The 22,780-nt window shown below is 39.9% G+C and overlaps 1 protein-coding gene across 11 annotated transcripts in view, besides 7 other annotated features; it reads left to right on the plus strand.

Annotated features, from left to right (window-relative positions):
* CDC42SE2 (CDC42 small effector 2) overlaps positions 1–22,780 on the plus strand; it is a 184,621-nt gene that overhangs the window by 132,250 nt on the left and 29,591 nt on the right. For all 11 annotated transcript variants that reach the window (XM_047417396.1, XM_047417393.1, XM_047417394.1 and 8 more), the window contains one exon: positions 16,908–17,246. In XM_047417396.1, coding sequence (XP_047273352.1) covers positions 17,193–17,246 — 54 coding nt within the window. In that variant the 5' untranslated portion in view covers positions 16,908–17,192. The remainder of the gene's footprint in view (positions 1–16,907; positions 17,247–22,780) is intronic.
* Positions 11,622–11,920: a silencer, noted in NCBI's record as "fragment chr5:130689616-130689914 (GRCh37/hg19 assembly coordinates)". NCBI's record gives its function as "represses an EF-1alpha promoter that drives an FKBP-Casp9 reporter gene in an ReSE screen in phorbol 12-myristate 13-acetate-treated (for megakaryocytic differentiation) K562 erythroleukemia cells {active_cell/tissue: K562(+PMA)}" and the evidence as "EXISTENCE:reporter gene assay evidence [ECO:0000049][PMID:32094911]".
* Positions 15,432–15,481: an enhancer, noted in NCBI's record as "active region_23048". NCBI's record gives its function as "activates an Ori minimal core promoter by ATAC-STARR-seq in GM12878 lymphoblastoid cells {active_cell/tissue: GM12878}" and the evidence as "EXISTENCE:reporter gene assay evidence [ECO:0000049][PMID:35858748]".
* Positions 15,572–15,651: an enhancer, noted in NCBI's record as "active region_23049". NCBI's record gives its function as "activates an Ori minimal core promoter by ATAC-STARR-seq in GM12878 lymphoblastoid cells {active_cell/tissue: GM12878}" and the evidence as "EXISTENCE:reporter gene assay evidence [ECO:0000049][PMID:35858748]".
* Positions 15,672–15,721: an enhancer, noted in NCBI's record as "active region_23050". NCBI's record gives its function as "activates an Ori minimal core promoter by ATAC-STARR-seq in GM12878 lymphoblastoid cells {active_cell/tissue: GM12878}" and the evidence as "EXISTENCE:reporter gene assay evidence [ECO:0000049][PMID:35858748]".
* Positions 15,742–15,831: an enhancer, noted in NCBI's record as "active region_23051". NCBI's record gives its function as "activates an Ori minimal core promoter by ATAC-STARR-seq in GM12878 lymphoblastoid cells {active_cell/tissue: GM12878}" and the evidence as "EXISTENCE:reporter gene assay evidence [ECO:0000049][PMID:35858748]".
* Positions 18,978–19,532: an enhancer, noted in NCBI's record as "H3K27ac-H3K4me1 hESC enhancer chr5:130696972-130697526 (GRCh37/hg19 assembly coordinates)". NCBI's record gives its function as "activates a minimal SCP1, AML or CMV promoter by ChIP-STARR-seq in primed H9 embryonic stem cells {active_cell/tissue: H9 hESC(primed)}" and the evidence as "EXISTENCE:reporter gene assay evidence [ECO:0000049][PMID:30033119]".
* Positions 19,533–20,087: an enhancer, noted in NCBI's record as "H3K27ac-H3K4me1 hESC enhancer chr5:130697527-130698081 (GRCh37/hg19 assembly coordinates)". NCBI's record gives its function as "activates a minimal SCP1, AML or CMV promoter by ChIP-STARR-seq in primed H9 embryonic stem cells {active_cell/tissue: H9 hESC(primed)}" and the evidence as "EXISTENCE:reporter gene assay evidence [ECO:0000049][PMID:30033119]".

Raw genomic sequence — 22,780 nt, forward strand, 5'->3', positions numbered from 1 at the left:
ACCAGAAGAAGCAGCTTGGTAAGTTAAAAACAGTTCCCACTAAGAGATGGAGAGGCACAGGTCAGAGATTTGCCATTTTTAATAGTCTTTTTTTTTTTTTTTTTTTAAGATAGGGTCTCACTTTGTCACTGGGCTGGAGTGCAGTGGCGCCGATCTCAGCCCACTGCAACCTCCGCCTCTCAGGTTCAAGTGATTCTCCTGCCTCTGCCTCCCGAGTAGCTGGGATACAGGCGCCCGCCACTATGCCCAGCTAACTTTTTGTATTTTTAGTAGAGATGGGATTTCACCATATTGGCCAGGCTGGTCTTGAACTCCTGACCTTGTGATTTGCCCGCCTCAGCCTCCCAAAGTGCTGGGATTGCAGGTGTGAGCCACTGCACCTGGTTAATAGTCTTTTATTATTCATTGATTCTTTTTTATTTTTTTTTTGAGATAGATTCTCGCTCTATTACTCAGGTTGGAGTGCAGTGGCACAATCTTGGCTCACTGCAACCTCCGCCTACTGGGTTCAAGTGATTCTTGTGCCTCAGCTTCCCAAGTAGCTGGGACTACAGGCATGTGCCGCCACACCTGGCGAATGTTTGTATTTTTAGTAGGAACGGGGTTTCATTGTGTTGGCCAGGCTGGTCTTAAACTCCTGACCTCAGGTGATCCACCCACTTCAGCTTTCCAATGTGTATATTCACTGATTTTTAAAAAGTCTATGTGCTCATATTATTTTGAATAACAGTAAAGATTTGCTTAAATGTAAGAAGGCATTTTACAGGATGGTTTTATTCAGAAAACTGTACGTAGTAGGACAGAATTTTAGTATGCATTGCTTGATAAACAGTGTATAATGGTCCCACCCACCGAGAAGAGTAACATAGAAATAGATGGGAGGAAAAAGACAGTATATACAAGTTTGCCTATATTGGTTTGAGGTGCCAGGAGACTGCAAGAGATGCTTATTAGCAGGTGGATATAAATGTCTAGTAGACTCAAGAGAGAAGTCAGAATGAAAATACACATTTCAGTCCATCATCTATAATACACTGAAAACCTGCTGTGTTTGTGTCACAGCATCATTATTTCTAACTCTAGGGAGCTAAGGAAGAGTTTAGGGAATATGGATAAAGAGATGGAAAAGGCCCAGGCACGGTGGCTCATGCCTGTAATTCCAGCACCGTGGGAGGCCAGGGCAGGCGGATCTCCTGAGGTCAGGAGTTCAAGACCAGCCTGACCAACATGGAGAAACCCCATCTCTACTAAAAATACAAAATTAGCCAGGTGTGGTGGTGCATGCCTATAATCCTAGCTACTCAGGAAGGCTGAGGCAGGAGAATTGCTGGAACCCAGGAGGCGGAGGTTGTGGTGAGCTGAGATCGCACCATTGCATTCCAGCCTGGGCAACAAGAGCTAAACTCTGTCTCAAAAAAAAAAAAAAGAGAGAGAGAGATGGAAGAGGCAGAGAGAGAAATAAAGAAGAAGAGTGGGAGGAGAAAGAGGAAGATTATTAAAGAGAGGGAAAGATGAACATGGCAGTTACTCTTACACAAGTGGGAGAAGAAATGTGGATATTAAAGAATGGAAGAGTAGTTTTCAACATATTTTACTTTCCTCTTTATATTGCACACTCTTTCATGTTTGAGCCAATATAATATTCTCTCTTATGTCCCCTACCATAATAATGGATACATTTTTTATGTTAAATACTTCAGATTTAAGTGGGAAAAGGAAGATGTTAGAAAAAGCCTGAGTAGGTTGATGTCAAGATGGCTGAGTAGGAACAGCTCCAGTCTGCAGCTCCCAGCATGAGCGACGCAGAAGAAGGGTGATTTCTGCATTTCCAACTGAGGTACCGGGTTCATCTCACTGGGGCTTGTCAGACAGTGGGTGCAGCCCACGGAGCAGGGCGGGGCATCGCCTCACCTGGGAAGCGCAGGGGATCGGGGAATTCCCTTTCCTAGCAAAGGGAAGCCGTGACAGATGGTACCTGGAAAATTGGGACACTCCCACCCTAATACTGCGCTTTCCAACAGCCTTAGCAAAAGGCACACCAGGAGATTATATCCTGCGCCTGACTAAGAGGGTCCCATGCCCACGGAGCCTCGCTCACTGCTAGAACAGCAGTCTGAGATCGAACTGCAAGGTGGCAGCAAGGCTGGGGGAGTGGCATCCACCATTGTTGAGGCTTGAGTAGGTAAAAAGAGCGGCCAGGAAGCTCGAACTGGGTGGAGCCCACCACAGCTCAAGGAGGCCTGCCTGCCTCTGTAGACTCCACCTATGGGGGCAGGGCATAGCTGAACAAAAGGCAGCAGAAACTTCTGCACACTTAAACGTCCCTGTCTGACAGCTCTGAAGAGAGTAGTGGTTCTCCCAGCACGGAGTTTCAGATCTGAGAATGGACAGAATGCCTCCTCAAGTGGGTCCCTGACCCCCGAGTAGCCTAACTGGGAGACACATCCCAGTAGGGGCTGACTGACACCTCATACAGCCAGGTGCCCCTCTGAGACAAAGCTTCCAGAAGAAGGATCAGACAGCAACATTTGCCATTATGCAATATTTGCTGTTCTGCAGCCTCTGCTGGTGATAACCAGGCAAACGATCTGGAGTGGACCTCCAGCAAACTCCAACAGACCTGCAGCTGAGGGTCCTGACTGTTAGAAGGAAAACTAACAAACAGAAAGGACATCCACACCAAAACCCCATCTGTACGTCACCATATCAAAGACCAAAGGTAGATAAAACCACAAATATGGGGAGAAACTAGAGCAGAAAATCTGAAAATTCTAAAAATCAGAGCACCTCTTCTCTTCCAAAGGAATGCAACTCCTTGCCAGCAACGGAACAAAGCTGGACAGAGAATGACTTTGGCAAGTTGAGAGAAGAAGGCTTCAGATGATCGGTAATAATAAACTTCTCCGAGCTAAAGGAGAATGTTCGAACCTATCGCAAAGAAGCTAAAAACCTTGAAAAAAGATGAGACGAATGGCTAACTAGAAAAACAGTGTAGAGAAGTCCTTACATGACCTGATGGAGCTGAAAACCATGGCACAAGAACTACGTGACTCATGCACAAGCTTCAGTAGCTGATTTTATCAAGTAGAAGAAAGGGTATCAGTGATTGAAGATCAAATGAATGAAATGAAGTGAGAAGTTTAGAGAAAAAAGGGTAAAAAGAAATGAACAAAGCCTCCAAGAAATATGGGTCTATGTGAAAAGACCAAATCTACATCTGATTGGTGTACCTGAAAGTGACGGGGAGAATGGAACCAAGCTGGAAAACACTCTGCAGGGTATTATTCAGGAGAACTTCCCCAACCTAGCAAGGCAGGCCAACATTCAAATTCAGGAAATACAGAGAATGCCACAAAGATACTCCTCAAGAAGAGCATCTCCAAGACACATAATTGTCAGATTCACCAAGGTTGAAATGAAGGAAAAAATGTTAAGGGCAGCCAGAGAGAAAGGTCGGGTTACCCACAAAGGGAAGCCCATCAGACTAACAGCAGATCTCTTGGCAGAAACTCTATAAGCCAGAAGAGAGTGGGGGCCAATATTCAACATTCTTAAAGAAAAGAATTTTCAACCCAGAATTTCATATCCAGCCAAACTAAGCTTCATAAGTGAAGGAGAAATAAAATCCTTTACAGACAAGCAAATGCTGAGAGATTTTGTCACCACCAGGCCTCCCTTACAAGAGCTCCTGAAGGAAGCACTCAACATGGAAAGGAGCAACTGGTACCACCAGCCACTGCAAAAACATGCCAAATTATAAAGACTATCAATGCTAGGAAGAAACTGCATCAACTAACGAGCAAAATAACCAGCTAACATCATAATGACAGGATCGAATTCACACATAAAAATGTTTACCTTAAATGTAAATGGGCTAAATGTTCCAATTAAAAGACACAGACTGGCAAATTGGATAAAGAGTCAAGACCCGTCAGTGTGCTGTATTCAGGAGACCCATCTCAAGTGCAGAGACACACATAGGCTCAAAATAAAGGGATGGAGGAAGATCTACCAAGCAAATGGAAAACAAAAAAAAGGAGGGGTTGCAATCCTAGTCTCTGATAAAACAGACTTTAAACCAACAAAGATCAAAAGAGACAAAGAAGGTCATTGCGTAATGGTAAAGGGATCAATTCAACAAAAAGAGCTAACTGTCCTAAATATATGTGCATCTAATACAGGAGTACCCAGATTCATAAAGCAAGTCCTTAGAGACCTACAAAGAGACTTAGATTCCCACACAATAATAATGGCAGACTTTAACACCCGACTGTCAGCATTAGACAGATCAATGAGACAGAAAGTTGACAAGGATATCCAGGAATTGAACTCAGCTCTGCACCAAGCCAACCTAATAGACATCTACAGAACTCTCCACCCCAAATCAACAGAATATACATTCTTCTCAGCACCACATCACACTTACTCCAAAACTGACCACATAGTTGGAAGTAAAGCACTCCTCAGCAAATGTAAAAGAACAGAAATTATAACAAACTGTCTCTCAGACCACAGTGCAATCAAACTAGAACTCAGGATTAAGAAACTCACTCAAAATCACTCAACTACATGGAAACTGAACAACCTGCTCCTGAATGACTAGTGGGTAAATAATGAAATGAAGGCAGAAATAAAGATGTTCTTTGAAACCAGCGAGAACAAAGACACAACAAATCTCCGGGACACATTTAAAGCAGTGTGTAGAGGGAAATTTATAGCACTAAATGCCCACAAGAGAAAGCAGGAAAGATCTAAAATTGACACCCTAACATCACAATTAAAAGAACTAGAGAAGCAAGAGCAAACACATTCAAAAGCTAGAAGAAGGCAAGAAATAACTAAGATCAGAGCTGAACTGAAGGAGATAGAGACACAAAAAAGCCTTCAAAAAATCAATGAATCCAGGAGTTGGTGTTTTTGAAAAGATCAACAAAATTGATAGACCGCTAGCAAGACTAATAAAGAAGAAAAGAGAGAAGAATCAAATAGATGCAATAAAAAATGATAAAGGGGATCTCACCACCCATCCCACAGAAATACAGACTACCATCAGAAAATACTATAAACACCTCTATGCAAATAAACTAGAAAATCTAGAAGAAATGGATAAATTACTCGACACATACACTCTCCCAAGACTAAACCAGGAAGAAGTTGAATCCCTGAATAGACCAATAACAGGCTCTGAAATTGAGGCAATAATCAATAGCCTACCAACCAAAAAAAGTCCAGGACCACATAGATTCACAGCCGAATTCTACCAGAGGTACAAAGAGGAGCTGGTACCATTCCTTCTGAAACTACTCCAATCAATAGAAAAAGAGGGAATCTTCCCCAATTCATTTTATGAGGTCAACATCATCCTGATACTAAAGCCTGGCAGAGACACAACAAAAAAAGAGAATTTTAGACCAATATCCCTGATGAACATCAATGCAAAAATCCTCAATAAAATACTGGCAAACCAAATCCAGCAGCACCTCAAAAAGCTTATGTACCACGATCAAGTGGGCTTTATCCCTGGGATGCAAGGCTGGTTCAACATATGCAAATCAATAAACGTAATCCATCATATAAACAGAACCAAAGACAAAAACATGATTATCTCAATAGATGCAGAAAAGGCCTTTGACAAAATTCAACAACGCTTCATGCTAAAAACTTAACAAACTAGGTATTGATGGGACGTATCTCAAAATAATAAGAGTTATCTATGACACACCCACAGCCAGTATCATACTGAATGGGCAAAAACTGGAAGCATTCCCTTTGAAAACTGGCACAAGACAGGGATGTCCTCTCTCAACACTCCTATTCAACATAGTGTTGGAAGTTCTGGCAAGGGCAATCAGGCAGGAGAAGGGAATAAAGGGCATTCAATTAGGAAAAGAGGAAGTCAAATTGTCCCTGTTTGCAGATGACATGATTGTATATCTAGAAAACCCCATCATCTCAGCCCAAAATCTCCTTAAGCTGATAAGCAACTTCAGCAATGTCTCACGATACAAAATCAATGTGCAAAAATCACAAGCATTCTTATACATCAATAACAGACAGAGAGCCAAATCATGAGTGAACTCCCATTCACACTTGGTACAAAGAGAATAAAATACCTAGGAATCCAACTTACAAGGAATGTGAAGGACCTCTTCAAGGAGAACTACAAACCATTGCTCAATGAAATAAAAGGGGATACAAACAAATGGAAGAACATTCCATGCTCATGGATAGGAGGAATCAATATCATGAAAATGGCCGTACTGCCCAAGGTAATGTATAGATTCAATGCCATCCCCATCAATCTACCAATGACTTTCTTCACAGAATTGGAAAAAACTACTTTAAAGTTCATATGGAACCGAAAAAGAGCCTGCATTGCCTAGTCAATCCTAAGCCAAAAGAACAAAGGTGGAGGCATCACACTATCTGACTTCAAACTATACTACAAGGCTACAGTAACCAAAACAGCATGGTACTGGTACCAAAACAAAGATATAGACCAATGGAATAGAAGAGCCCCCGGAAATAATACCACACATCTACACCCATCTGATCTTTGAGAAACCTGACAAAAACAAGAAATGGGGAAAGGATTCCCTGTTTAATAAATGGTGCTGGGAAAACTGGCTAGCCACATGTAGAAAGCTGAAACTGGATCCCTTCCCTACACCCTATACAAAAATTAATTCAAGATGGATTAAAGACTTAAATGTTAGACCTAAAACCATAAAAACCCTAGAAGAAAACCTAGGTAATACCATTCAGGACATAGGCATGGGCAAGGACTTCATGACTAAAACACCAAAAGCAATGGCAACAAAAGCCAAAATTGACAAATGGGATCTAATCTAACTTTGCAGCCATAAAAAAGGATGAGTTCATATCCTTTGTAGCGACATGGATGAAGCTGGAAACCATCATTCTGAACAAACTATCGCAAGGACAGAAAACCAGACACCGCATGTTCTCACTCATAGGTGGGAATTGAACAATGAGAACACTTGGACACAGGGGAACATCACACACTGGGGCCTGTTGTGGGGTGGGGGGAGGGAGAAGGGATAGCATTAGGAGATATACCTAATGTAAATGATGAGTTAACGAGTGCAGCACACCAACATGGCACATGTATACATATGTAAGAAACCTGCACGTTGTGCTCATGTACACTAGTACTTAAAGTATAATAATAATAAAAATTTCTAGTCAACAGCATGCTGTTAGTACTTAAACTTTTCGAGAATCAACAGTTATATATTGGTTTTCGACTGTGCAGGGAATTGGTGCCCCTAACTGCCATGTCGTTCAAGGGTCAACTGTATATGAGTATGTGTTTTGAGCATGATCCAAAGTAGGCAAAATCCATTGGGAACAACCCATTGTAATGAAGTCACATGATGGAAATTTTATGCAGGTATTAAAATAATGAATATGAAGACTAAGGGAAAAATGTACATAGTGTTAAATAGAGCAGGAGATAAAATTAGGAATAATTCAAATGCATATGCAGTTATTTTTAAGGTATGTGCACAAAAGGACAAATAAAAAATTTAATATACTATTATTCTAGGAAGGTAGGGTTAATGGGTGATTTTCTTAATCTTTTTGCTTTTTTCTAAATGTTTAATGAAACTTGTATAATAAATAGAATTTGTGAAAACAAAAAACTTGATTTAGAACTAATCAAGAATAAGGAGAACATAAATTATTTGTAGAATATCCTGATTAATGTCAACATCATAGATTACAGAGTAATTGAGTTTAAAGTAGATATATTTAAAAAAATCAAATATATTTGTTTAATGTGTACAAGGGCCTTGTGGTAAATCAACTTGACCTAAGATACATTTCCTTCTATGTAGCAAATGAGCAATAATTTGGTAATTTTAAACATTTCAACAAGAAACGTATAATTTAGACATTTTTAAAAAAAGATTAAAATAGCCTTCCTACTCGCTCATGTATACAATTAAATTCCTTGGCAGTTTCTGTGGTATAATTCATAATGATTTTCATATATTATTAAATTTATAAAAATACAAAAAAAAAGAAAAAGCCTGAGTAAACTGTGAAATATTACCTAATCACACCCTACAAAATATTAATGTCAAAATTGAATTACAGAAGTAAAACTTAACAGAACTATAATGGGATGATTGATTCATAATCCTGAGATAAAGAAATGTTTCTTAAGTAAGATAAAACCACTAATCTGTTATGAAAATTGACATTTGACTACATAAGGCTTTAACGCCCTGATATGAACGGTATAAACAAAGTTAAAAGTGATACAACAAAATTTATTTTGTGTGTGTGTGTGTGTGTGTGTGTGTGTGTATATATATATGTATATATAATTTGACTTACGTATAAATATATAATTCTTAGAATAAATGCAGTCCCAATCAGAATCACAGGAGGCTTTTTTTTGGGTAGAAATTAACAAGCTGATTCTAAAATATGTATGAAAATGCAAAGGACCTAGAAAACTAAAAGCAATTTTGAAAAAGAGTATAATTGGAAGACAAATGACTACCTTGCTTCTAAGTCTTATTATAATGGTACTGGCATTGGATTGACAAATAGACAAGTGCAATACAATAATCAGCTTAGAAGTAGACTGAATGTTACTCAATTATTTTATTTTATTTTATTTTATTTTTAGAGAGGGTCTCACTCTGTCGCTCAGGCTGGAGTACAGTGTTACAGTCATGGCTCACTGCAGCCTCAACCTCCCAGGCTCAAGTGATCCTCCTGCCTCAGCCCCTCCAAGTAACTGGGACTACAGGTGTGTGCAACCATGCCCAGCTAATTTTTGTAGTTTTTGTAGAGACGGGACTTTGCTGCCCAGTTGCCCAGGCTGGTCTTGAACTCCTGAGCTCCAGCAATCCACCCTCCTTGGTCTCCCAGAGTGCTGAGATTATAGGCGTGAACCACCAAGCTCAGCCCTGATTTTCCTTTTTTTTTTCCTGAGACGGAGTCTCGCTCTGTTGCCCAGGCTGGAGTGCAGTGGCATGATCTTGGCTCACTGCAAGCTTTGCCTCCCGGGTTCACGCCATTCTCTTGCCTCAGCCTCTGGAGTAGCTGGGACTACAGGTGCCTGCCACCACGCCCAGCAAATTTTTTGTATTTTTAGCAGAGACGGGGTTTCACCATGTTAGCCAGGATGGTCTCGATCTCCTGACCTTGTGATCCGCCCGCCTTGGCCTCCCAAAGTGTTGGGATTACAGGCGTGAGCCACCGTGCCCGGCCTCAGCCCTGATTTTCAATAAAGGTGCTAAATTAATCTGATAAGAAAAGGATATCTTCAGCAAATGAGCTAGAACAACTGGATATCCATATTTTTTTAAAAAATAGCCTTTATACTGTCAAAAACTAAAATTTAATTAAAAACAGATTATAGGTATAAAAATAAAAGCTAAAAAGTCTAGAAAAAGAAACAGATTATCTTTGCAACTTTGGGATATGTGAAAGAATTTTTAGAACCCAAAAAGCACAAATCATAAGAGATAAAACTTATGCATAAGACATTATCAAAGTTAAAAACTTTAACTCTTCGAAAGATGTTGTTCGGTAGACAAAGACCAGGACAAAATATTCACTATGCATATATTGGAGAAAGGATTGACCTAGAATATATGAAGAACATAGTAAGATGACTGAATTTAAAAATGGGCAAAAGGTTGGAACATATTTACCCAAAGAAAATACATGAATGGCCAAGAAGCACATGAAAAGACTTAATATCACCAGTTATCAGAAAAGTGCAAATTTAAACCACAGCAAGATACTACTGTACACCCACTAGGATGACTAGAATTAAAAAGATTGATAGTACAAAGAGTTGGTAGGATAAGGAATAACTGGAACTCTCAATGCAAAGTGGTAAAACTGGTTTAGAAAACTGGTGGGTAGTTTCTTAATAAAGTTAAAATCATACTTAGTATATAACAGCTTTATTTTTAATAGCCAAAAAGCTGGAAAAACATTAATATCCATCAAAAGATGGGTGGGTAAACAGATTGTATAATATCCATATAATGGAAATCTACTTAGCAATAAAAAATAATTTACTAATAGAGACAACATAGGTAAATCTTAAAAACATGCTGAATGAAAGAAGCCAGATGTGAAAAAGAGTGCATGCTGTATAATTATATTTACATGAAACTATAGGAAAGTCTAATCTGTAATCAGTCATTTTAAATATAAGGAAAAAATTAACCCTCATATTTTGATAATTATATGTGCATCCCTACCTCAGTCTTTTATAACTGAGTTCAGGGAACAATGGTTTGGACTTCGATTAACCACAGAGAAGTAGCTGTGTGATAAATACATAGTTTGAAAGATCATCTTAAAATAAGTTAATTTTTTTCAAAACGGTGTTGTACCACACGTGAGTATCAACTGTTTCAGCTAGTTTGAGACGGATTTAGTGCTGCTACAGCTATGAATAAGGTTTATTGATATTTATATTTGGTCATTGATTAATGTTTGCATTTCTGACAGAAACCTCTTTGGCATCTGATGGAACTTCAGACCCCCTTCCCCAGTAATTTTACCAGTTCTTCCAAAGTTTCTAGCAAGGGTGTTCACTCGTACTTAATTCTGTGTTTTGCATTTCCACTTCTGATCTTCCTCAATTCATTATTATCAACTGCTCATTGTTAGTTTTTTTTTGAGACAGGGTCTCACTCTGGTGCCCAGGCTTTACTGCAGTGGCGCGTCTTGGTGTACTGCAGCCTCGACTTCCTGGGCTCTAGTGATCCTCCAAACTCAGCCTTCCAAGTAGCTGATACCACAAGTGCTTGCCACCACACCCAGCTAATTTTTAAAATGTTTTTGTAGTTACGGAATTCTGTCATGTTGTCTAGGTTGGTCTCGAACTCCTGGTCTCAAGCAATCCTTGTGCCTCAGCATCCCAGAATGCTGGGATTACAGGCGTGAATCAACAAGCCTGGCCCAGTATTTATTAATAATTTTTTTTTTTTTTTGGAGACACGGTCTTGTTCTGTTGCCCGGGCTGGAGTGCAGTGGTATGATCCCAGCTCACTGCAATCTCCACCTCCTTAGGTCAAGCAAGTCTTGTGCCTCAGCCACCTGAGTAGCTGGGATTACAGGTGCATGCCACCATGCCCAGCTAATTTTTGTATTTTTAGTAGGGATGGGGTTCTGCTGCATTGGCCATGCTGGTCTTGAACTCCTGGCCTCATGTAATCCTCCCACTTTAGCCTCCCAAAGTGCTAGGATTACAGGTCTGAGCCATCATGCCCGGCCTACTTTTTAAATTGACATTTCATTTAAATTTTTGTCATTTAAGGCTGGGCATGGTGGCTCATGCCCGTAATCCCAGCATTTAGGGAGGCCGAGGCCAGCGGATCACTTGAGGTCAGGCGTTTGAGACCAGCCTAGCCAACATGGTGAAACCCCATCTCTACTAAAAAAAATACAAAAATTAGCTGGGCGTGGTGGTGGGCGCCTATAGTCACAGCATGTACTCAGGAGGCTGAGGCATGAGAATTGTTTGAACCTGGGAGGCTGAAGTTGCAGTGAGCTGAGATTGTGCCACTGCACTCTGGCCTCGGTGACAGAGCAAAACTCTGTCTAAAAAAAAAAAAAATTATCGTTTAAAAATACATACAAATTGCATAGTGGCCAGGCATTGTGGCTCATGCCTCTAATCCCAGCATTTTGGGAGAAGGAGGCAGGCAGATTACTTGAGCCCAGGAGTTTGAGACCAGCCTGGGCAACATAGTGAGACCTTGTCTCTACAAAAAATTTAAAAATTAACTGGACATGATGGCACACACCCGTAGTCCCAGCTACTTGGAAGATTAAGGGTAGGATGGTTTGAGTCTGGGAGGCAGAGGTTGCGGTGAGCTGAGATTGCGACACTGCACTCTAGCCTGGGCAGCAAAGCAAGACCCTGTCTCAAAAAAAATAAAATAAAATAAAATTGCATAGTGGATACATGTATTATTTAACAAATAATTATAAAGCAAATACCTGTGTAGCTACCACCCAGGTCAAGAAGTGGAACACTGTCAGCATTCCAGGAGCCCATAAGCACCTCTTCCTATTTGTAATCCTTGCCCTCAGGCCTAGAGGTAACCATTCTCCTGACTTTAATTATAAGTTTCCTTGCTTTAATTTTATATGTATGTATGCATCTCTAAACAAAATAGTTTAAATTGTTTTTGAAATTCACAGAAATCATTGCATGTATATTGTGTCATGTTTCTTATCTCGCCATGTGAGAATCATCTGTGTTGCCTGAAGCTGTCATTCATTTTGTTTTGTGTAAAACCATAATTCACCTTTTTTCATTTTCTTCATTTTTTTCTAGATAGATTTTAGGCTGTTTCTTCAAAGTTTGCAGCAAATTACCTGTTTTTGCTATAGCAGAATAATGCTATTTTGCCATTTTAATTCTCGTAACAAAAAAGCATCTTATATCAATACAAGGTGAGCATCCAAATCCAAAAATCTGAAATCTGAAATGCTCCAAAGTCCAAAACGTAAAAAAAAATTTAAAATTTAAATTAAATTAAATTGTTTTGTAGAGATGAGGTCTTGCTATGTTGCCTAGGCTAGTCTCGAACTCTTGGCTTCACACAATCCTCATGCTTCAGCTGCGCCAAATGTTGGGACTACAGGTGTGAGCCACTGTGCCCAGCCAGAATTTTTTGAATACTGACATGGTCCAAGGAAATGTTCACTGGAGCATTTTGGATTTCAAATTTTTCAGATTTAGGGTGTTCAGTAGGATAAGTATAAAGCAAGTATTTCAAACTACAAGAAAATCTGAAATCTACATTACTTCTGGTCCCAAGCATTTAGGAAAAGGGATATTCAACCTGTATGCTCTTTATAATATATACTGTACTTTCATATATATTAGCTAACTTAATCCTCATTTCAGACCTGTGAAATGGCAATGCAGTATTTCATTTTATAACTAAGAAAACTGAGGGTAAGCCTGGGCAACATAGTGAGACCCTGTCTCTATAAAAAGTTCAAAAGTTAGCCAAATGTGGTGGCATGTACCTGTAGTCCCAGCTACTTCGGAGGCTGAGGTGGGAGGATCATTTGAACCCGAGAGGTCAAGGCTGCAGTGAGCCAGGATTGCTCCACTCCACTGCAGCCTGGGCAACAGAGCTGAAACTCTGTCTCAAAAAAAAGAAAGAGAGAGAGAAAGAGAAGAGAGAGAAGAGAGGGAGAGAGGGAGGGAGGGAACAGAGTGATAGAGCTTGTCACTTGCCTGAACTAACATTTCTAAAAAATTAGTGCTATAACTGTCACAGATCTTTTATTTCAAAGTCCAAATTCTGAATTTTTTAAGTTTCACACAAACTGAGCGTACTTAATACCTGAACTGAGTTAAGATATTTTAGATTAAAAAAAAAAACCTAGTTACCTGACATGCCCCACTGTCTAGTTTTTCACATCAAAACATTATTATTTTTCTTTGGAAGTTGACCTAAAAAGCATTTGTATTAAATTGCGGGTAGGATGTTGGAGTTTAACTTCATTAAGTTGTCAGCAGCAAAACTTCATGCAGGTAGGAGGCTGGTATCTGTAGCATTTGATTTAGGTGGCAAAAAGGAGGAGGGGAACTGATAGTGGATAATATTTTGAGTACAGAATACTATTGCACTTTTCTACTCATGTCAGTCTCATTTGTAAGCAAATTTAAGGAAGCTCACTAGCTAAGTCGCCTTGGATAAGCTATTTAATGACCAAGTTCCATGATGTTCTCTTTAAAAGTCCCTTCCCTTTCTAAAATCTTATGTCTTATGAATCTATGAGGTTGTTAAAATACTCTCTTGTGCTGTAGACCAGTCTGACCCCTTAGTTATGTGTGGAATTTGCTGAGCTGTATTTAAAGCCAAGTTTATATGTTGATGTTATTGTAAAATGACTCTCCTTCTGTTATCTAAAGATTTCAAAAAGTATAGGTTTTTAAAATGGTCATGTTTTAAGCAGCTTTCAGCTCAAGAAGTGAAAGTAACTATTAGTATAGTTATTAGTGGCAGTGTTGAAGTTTCTTGTGAAGAATTCAATACTTCCTTGAAGGTGTTTATATGTAAATATGTTTTACATATATATACTTTAGAAACCTGTTCTAAAAAAAGGAAATTTGTTTAGAAAAGCAAGAAGATAGAAGATGTATTGATATCACATTCCAAAGCATGTCTGAAACATTTTAAGATCCATATATTTACTTAAATAAAAATCCATGGAATTGCAAACATCTTCTTGGTTTGAAAATATATTTTAGCAGATCCATTATCTAAATGGAAATATGTAGCAATAGAAGTTATTGTACTTTAGGCCAGGTGCGGTGGCTCATGTCTATAATGCCAGCACTTTGGGAGGCTGAAGTGTGAGCTCAGCAGTTTGAGCTCAGCCTGGGCAAAACAGTGAGACCCTGTCTCTACACAAAATAAAAAATTAGCAAAGTGTGGCAGCACACATCTGTAGTCCCAGCTACTTGGGAGGCTAAGGCAGGAGGATCACCTGAGCTCAGAAAGTCAAGGCTGCAGTGATCTGTGATCATGCCACTGCATTCCAGCCTGGGCAACACAGTGAGACCCTATCTGAAAAAAAATTTTTTTTTTAATTTCACAAAGGCTTCTTAATGGGCAAGATTTTTGATCCAGGGTGAAATTAAACTTATTAAATAGCAGCACTGAAATAATGTTCATGAGACTGTATATTTAAGCCTTTTCTCTTATATTCCTGCTAAGAGGATTGGATGGAGGAAATAAGTGATACTATTCTTTGAGCTTATAAAACTTCACAGTATTTACCCAATTCATTGGCCAAAGACTGCCACTTCCTTGATTTAGAGTTTGGGTAAGATAAGGAATGTTCATCTCTGCTTAAATAAACATTCCAGGTTCTGAATTTTAATTAATGGCAAAAATGTAAACTTTTCTTTCTTTTGATATTCCTTGGATGTATGCTTAAATCTTAACATGTTATTTTCCTGTATGTTAGAGGACTTGTCCTCTGGACTGTAGAATCAGGGTCCTGAATTCATGCCTTGTTATACTACCCAGATTTGTGACACTGAGGGTGTGTGCCTTAACTTTACATTACATCTTTATCTGTACAGCTACAAAAATCACCGTCACTTCTGTCTTTCCAGGTTTAGAGTCGTGGCTTTGGAAAAAGCAAAAGGGAGGAATTTAATTTCACTTAATGTTCAGGACTCTGTGATCCTGTAATGTGGTTGTTACTGATCTATAGTTGGCAAAGCTTATAAATGTGTGAGGTCTCTTTCCAGAATTTACAAATAAGTGATTTATATTTCGCCATTTGGGACAAAAATGTTAACATCTCTTTGAACACAGTCAAATTGATACATCTTTAGTCTTTGATCTTTTCATTTCAAGGAAGGCTCATTTTCTTCATTCTACCACTCTACTTTTTAAACTTTATATCCATTTTTCTTGCAAACATTGTCTACACTTGTTGACTCTGCTGCTTTCCTTTCACTCACTTAACCTCCTGTAATCTGATGTCTACCCACACTACTTTACTGAAACTGCTGTTGCCAGCGCCACACTGTGTTTGCTGCACAGTCTAAGGAATAGTCCTCAGTCTTTCCTATCTCAGTGGCAGTTAATACTGCCACCCACTTTCTCCTTGAAACAGGCTCCAGTGACACCACATTTAACGGATTTTCCTCTTCTAATTCTGGTAACACCCAAACCTCCTTAGTAGACTTCTCTTTTTCTACCTATGATTTAAATGCTGTTCTTACTCAGAGGACTCTGTTGAGCACACTTTGCTTGTCATGATACCGTTTTGCCTAGAGATCATTCATTGCTTTAGTCATAATCTGATGATTGCAAAACTTCTCCTTGGCTTCAGATTTATATATCAAACTGTCTATTGGACATCTTAACTTGACTATTGTAGTAGTCTGCAAGTGATATAAACCCACTTCATCATAACTTCAGGCTAAAGAGGGAGATATGTTGCCTTACAAAACCAAACGTCTGGTGCACAGGTGAAACTGATCTTAGGGATGCCTAGAATCAGAGATTGATGTCATCTTGACTTCCCACTTCTCTTTTGCCGCTGCTTGTCAGCATTATTACCTCAAAACCATCTTCCACATGAGGTATAGGATATTATTGACTAAGGACATCCTTAAAGTCAACAGCTTGGCAGTCAGAAATAAAAAATAGGTTTAACTCTTTGTCCAACTGCAGATAGAACATTGCCTGACAAGGATTCTGATAGACTCAGCTTGGTTTGCCACAGTGGGATGTAGAGTATTTTGACTAACATGCGTTCTAGTAATGATGGTAGGAGTGGTGGGAGTGGTAGGGATCTAATAGCTCGATTCACAGAAGAAAGCCAACTTAACCTCTACCCATTTTTCATGTACAGCTCTAATTCCAGTGGATAAGGTAATAAGTTTGTTTATGGTTTTTGATGAACTGCACCTGCTTGATTATCTCCTTAGAATTCATTGCTGTGTCAATTACTGTCTGAGTTGTCTGTGAGAATAAAGGACTCAACTGAAGAAACCTATATGAAAATGGTGATCATTATTTCTTCTTGGAATTAGAAACTTGTATGTGGCAGTCATAATGTTCTAATTAGTGATTTTTAAAAATTAACTCATTAAAATAATCCATACTTTTATAATCATAAAATAGGATGCCCCACGAAGGCAAAGATTTCTGTCTGCTTTTACTACTACACCTAGAACTTGACACTTAAAAAGTTGCTCAAAAAATAATTTGTTGAATCAATATCAGTTTGTTAAAATCTTGATTTTTTTTCAGTGTTTACTTTTTTTGGTAATATTTATTTTAAGAAATAAAAGCTTTCAAGGATAAGTAAAGTTTAACTTTTTTTTACTTTTTCTTTTTTTTCCCTAGACTATCTGTTATAGTCCCTGGGTCAAGACAACAATTTTTATACCTTCGTCGTGGTTCAGAAAGGAGTCTCTGTAGAACCAGAAGCAAAGAAAGGAAACAATCCAAATTTTTCTTTATTAAATCGACTGTGTAAGATACTTGACTTCCAGGAACAAAAACACGGTGAAATAATAAAATTTCATCTTGGCATCACTGGACATCATCGTATTGAGGAGCGTATTTTTGGAACTTCCCGAGTTGAGATTTGGAACCTTCATTGGTGCTCATTTACTGTGGACTGTAAGCATGAGTGAATTCTGGTTGTGTTTCAACTGCTGTATTGCAGAACAGCCTCAGCCTGTAAGTATGAAGTATGTGGACACATCAGGTGGGGTGCTTATTAAACTTTCCACTGGTTCTCAAACTGAGGATTGGGATCCTAGCAGTAATTGCAAAGCAGTTGTAGAGAATACCACAGAGAATAGTTCAGTGGAACTCCGAACATATGTTTAAAAAGAAATAATGTTTTTAAAGTAAATACTGTATGTCAAGAACTCTCCTAGACCATTCATCGTACATGACTGAGAGGAGGTGTTCTTCTGTCAAATAGCTTCTGGAGGAATAGTGAGAGAAAAAGGAGATAGTAACCTGAGGTAAAACAGATAAATCAGCCTTGGAAGTCAGTGGGTGGAAGATGTGACAGCCATATTGCCATCATATTCCTCTCAGCTTACCATCTCATTTTCCTCAGAGCAACCCTCTGAGGAAGATATCATTGTCTTTATTTTTCAGTTGAAACAGGTTCAGTTTTTTGCCCAAAGTCATATAGCTTGTCAGTGGTCTTGACTGACTTCTTGGTATATGCCTTGTTTTTGTGCCCTCTAATATATGCACATATTGTTACCTCTACCAAAATCCTGCCCTCCAGCCTCCAAATTCTGTTTTTTATTAAGACGGAGTTTCACTCTTATTGCCCAGGCTGGAGTGCAATGGCGTGATCTCGGCTCACTGCAACTTCCGCCTCCTGGGTTCAAGTGATTCTCCTGCCTCAGCCTCTTGAGTAGCTGGGATTATAGGCATGTGCCACCACGCCTGGCTAATTTTGTACTTTTAGTAGAGACAGGGTTTCACCATGTTGGTCAGGCTGGTCTCGAACTCCTGACCTCAGGTGATCCACCCGCCTCTGCCTCCCAAAATGCTGGGATTACAGGCGTGAGCCACTGCACCTGGCCTCCTTTTCATTTTTTAAGGTGCCTAAATAAAATGTTACTTACATAAAAATTGCCCCAGCTTTCCCCTGAATGAGATAATACTCATCTGTATTCCCACAGCTCTTTAGTTCATTTTTCTATTATAGCATGGAACCTTTTGCATAGTAAATAACTATTCTACAGTCTCTCCCACAACATTTTGAATTATTTATGGGTCTTCACCATGTTAACTTGGTATCTTCAGGATCAAATATAATATCTTGGAGAGTGTAGGTATACATGATTGATTGTTGGCTGGCTGAACAAATGAATTGATATTTTATTTATATTTGTAACAACGTAAGAGGAAAAATAAGGACTAAATTTTAAAAATATAATTGTACACGTAACTCCCAATCTCAAGTGATTCACCTGCCTCGGCCTCCCAAAGTGCTGGGATTACAGGCATGAGCCACTGTGCCCTACCATATTGTTTTAATTGCTCTACTTACTTAATATGTTTTGCTGTGTCATAGGGGAAATTTTTTCTTAGCTCTTCTTTTCTAACTCTATTGGTGATGTCTTTTTTAAAAGCTGGATTGTGGTTACATGTTTTCTTATTATATTTTTCTTTATTTTTTTTCTTGTTTGAGATATTTCATAATACATATGTAAATCTTAGAGTTTGTTTGTTTGTTTTTTTTTTTGGATTGCATTGAATTTATTTTATTTTATTTATTTATTTATTTTTTTGAGATGGAGTCTCATTCTGTTGCCCAGGCTGGAGTGCAGTGACGTGATATATAATAAAGGGTATATAATAAAGTGAATTCTCTTCAATATATGATAAATGTATACTCACCAATAGCTAAAATAGGAAGACACAGATTAGGTATTTAAATGGCAGGAGCATAAGCCTCTGGAGTTATGAGACATCAGAAATACATTTTCTGCTACACAGAGGATTTGCAACTTGAGTTTCTCTCATACTGAAACGGGAAAAGTTCCCTTGTCCCCCTAGAAGCCATGCGATGGGGGTGTGGCTCGCTTCTTCAGTGCCCTGCTGCTCAAACCTCTAGGGGAGCATACAGACGGGGAGCTGTGGGGTTCTGACCCCACGACAATGTCTAGGGATGAATCTTTATAGCTGAAGTGCCAGAAGGCGTGTGTTACAGGGTGCTTTTTTAGTTTGCCTTGTGTTAACCAGCTCAGTTAGACCCTCTACCTTGTCACAGGGACAGAAGGCTTTCTGTATCCTGGGTTCTTGCTTTGGTGTGCTAGAAGAATTGGATCACACGTGGGCTTGGAGAAGGAGTGCAAAGTTTTATTGAGTGGAAGTAGCTCTCTGTCGATGAGGGAGCCAGAATGGAGATGGTTTTCCCCTGGAGTTGGGCTGCTAGGTGGCCCCAGCTCTCCTTTAACTGCCCCGGCCAAACTCCGCCTCATCCAGCCAGTTGATGGCCTGCTGGCATGCTGGTGTCTGTTGGTGTGCTCTTGTGCAGGCGTGTTCCCTCGACGTCTTTTCACCGTCTAACCGCTTGTGTCTTCTTCCGCTGATGTGCTCCTCTCGACGTTTGGCTGTCTATGTGTCTGCCTGCTAGGGTCTTGGGTTTTTATAGGCCCAGGATGGGGGCACGGCGGGCCAGGGTGGTCTTGGAAAATGCAACATTTGGGCCCAAAAGCAGGAGTGCCTGTCCTCACCTATGTTTGTCCGTGGGGGTGGAGCCCTAGCCATGGACCTGCCTTTCTCTACCCAGCACTTCCCTGTTCCCACTCCCATATCATTTAAAGGGACCACACTCTTCCCTTCCCAGCACTCCCGTATCAGTACAACATTTACATATGTTAGTTGTTTGTTATTGTTTAATGAATACATACTTATGTGAAGTATTCCATAAAAATTCCATGGACATCTGATTTCTTACCTTTTTGATTCCTGAGAAAAATTACATAAAACTTAATGGGGCTTTGTGGTCACCATAATGGAGGAATAGCTTGCTTGTTGGCATCAGGAAACAGATGTAAAGAATCACTAATAATTTTTGTTTCTTTACATTATACAAAGACATATCCTTGGTATTCTAAACAATATCAAGACTGCCTTATCTTAAAGCTGCTTGATCATCTGCTAAAGTTTTCTAAAATATTTACTGAAATAAAGTGCTGCATGCCGACTCTCCCACTTGTTCCCTATCACCCCCTGCTTTTGCACATTCCATGTGTGAAAAAGGAACAACCCAATATTGGGAAGAAAATAGAATGTATTTTTCTGAGTATAGTAGAATAATCATTTTTCTCCTCCTACTCCTTCATTTTAATATAGTACAATGCAGGGTATAATAGAGCCCCAATGTTTTGAGCCGTGGTATTCCAAAACTTAGTAACTTAGTAATGCTGTAGTTGCTGTTGCTAGATATAGCTAAGGTTGTAGATTTTTAACTGGATGGTTGCTGCCCTGCAATTTAATTTTTTAAAAAGATTTGTTAGGGCTGGGCGCAGTGGCTAACACCTGTAATCCTAGCACTTTGAGAGGCCAAGGCAGGGGGATTGCCTGAGCTCAGGAGTTCGAGACCAGCCTGAGCAACATGGTGAAACCCTGTCTCTACTAAAAAAAAAAATTAGCCGGTGTGATGTTATGTGCCTGAAGTCCTAGCTACTCCGGAGGCTGAGGCAGGAGAACTGCTTGAACCCGCAAGGTGGAGGTTGCAGTGAGCTGAGATTGCGCCGCTGTGCTCCAGCCTGGCGACAGGGCAAGACTCTATCTAAAAAAAAAAAAAGATTTATTAGCTGTTGACAGAACTATAGTGAATTCTTCACCAACTTATTGAGCATCAGAATACTGGTCAGCTTCTAAGGTAGCTTTAAAAAACAAGGAACCCTGATTTACAGAAAAAAAAAAAAAAGCCACTTTTCTATTCATATTATTTGCCTTCCCATCTAATGGTTTCCCACATAGCACTGATTTTTTGTAATGCTGCTTGTATCTGGAATGTGTTAATTTGTTTTTGTTTGTTTTGAGACGGAGTTTTGCTCTTGTCGCCTAGGCTGGAGTGCAATGGTGCGATCTTGGCTCACTGCAACCTCTGCCTCCCGGGTTTAAGCAATTCTCCTGCCTCAGCGTCCTGAGTAGCTGGAATTACAGGCACCCTCCACCATGCCCAGCTAATTTTTGTAGTTTCAGTAGAGATGGGGTTTCTCCATGTTAGCCAGGCTGGTCTCGAACTCCTGACCTCAAGTGATCCACCCTCCTCGACCTCCCAAAGTGCTGGGATTATAGCTGTGAGCCACCGCGCCCGGCCTTTTTTTTTTCTCTTACTCTTTTTTTTTTTTTTTTTTGAGAAGGAGTCTCGCTGTGTCTCCCAAGCTGGAGTGCAGTGGTGCGATCTTGGCTCACTGCAACCTCCGCCTCCTAGGTTCAGACAATTCTCCTGCCTCAGCCTCCCGAGTAGCTGGGACTACAGGCATGTGCCACCACACCCGGTTAATTTTTATATTTTAGTAGAGATGGAGTTTCACCTTGTTGGCCAGGCAGATGTCGAACTCCTGACCTCAAATGATCCTCCTGCCTCAGCCTTCCAAAGTGCTGGGAATTGCAGGCATGAGCCACCACACCTGGCCTTGGAATGTGTTATTTTGGACATGTACGCACTTACAGTACATTTGTAACAATAACACTCTGGTATTTCTACAATGAGCCAGGTAGTGGTGAGATAACAGTGAATACAACAGATGTCATCTCTACCATCATCTTGTCTCACTTTAGTGGAGGACATATTTACTGTACAAATAAGTATGTATGGTATCAGGTGGTGATAAGTGCACCGTGGAAAAAGAAAGCAAGAAAAAAGAGGATGACGTTGGAGAAATGGGGATATGAATTTAAATAGTGTGTTCAGGGAAGGCCTCTCAGATTAAGTGCTGTATAGGCACAAGTTTAAGGGAGTAAAATACACAAATACTTGGGGCAAAGCACTTAGAGTGAGTAGTAAGTGCAAGGTTGGGTGTGTGAGTGGAACATCAGAGAAGGCAGAGTGGCTGTGAGGCATGGGGCCAGTGGTGGGAATGAGGTCTAAGAGGTAACCAAGGGCCAGTTCATGTTTGGTCTTCCAGGTCATGAAAAGACTGGTTTTTATTCTTTGTGAAATAGGAAATCATTGAATGGTTTAGAGCAAAAAGCCAAAGTATGTGGAAGAACATACCTATTTTTTCTAGTGGTTTGACTTACTGTATGCTCAGACAGAGAGCACTGACAAACCATACTGCACACTGTAGCCCAGTGAGCCACTTCACTCCTTCATGCACATTTAGCCTCCTCAGCTGTCTGGAGTTGAGTATGGAATATGCTCTGCAATAAGGTTGCTTATTCCCTTTGTGGCTTTTCTTTCTGCCATTTGTTGTTGTTCTGATGTATAGTTTTAACCTATAATAGTCAGGGTGGGGGCATGAGGATATGTGCAAGTGATGGTGCTGGAGTTGCCACAGTGAAACAGAGGAAGTGCAGTGTGCTCAGTGTTTAGATGGTTCAAGGTTACTTCAAGGGAAGTGGTTGAGGAAACGGAGTGGGGATGGATCAGTTAGACAGCTAAGGATTGCTATAAGACCTTAGACATTTTAGAAAACATCAAAGTTAGGCCAGGTGCAGTGGCTTATGCCTGTAATCCCAGCACTTTGGGAGGCCGAGGCGGGCTGATTACCTGAGGTCAG

The sequence above is a fragment of the Homo sapiens genome, chromosome 5 (assembly GCF_000001405.40).
Source record: "Homo sapiens chromosome 5, GRCh38.p14 Primary Assembly".
NCBI classification, from domain to species: domain Eukaryota; kingdom Metazoa; phylum Chordata; class Mammalia; order Primates; family Hominidae; genus Homo; species Homo sapiens.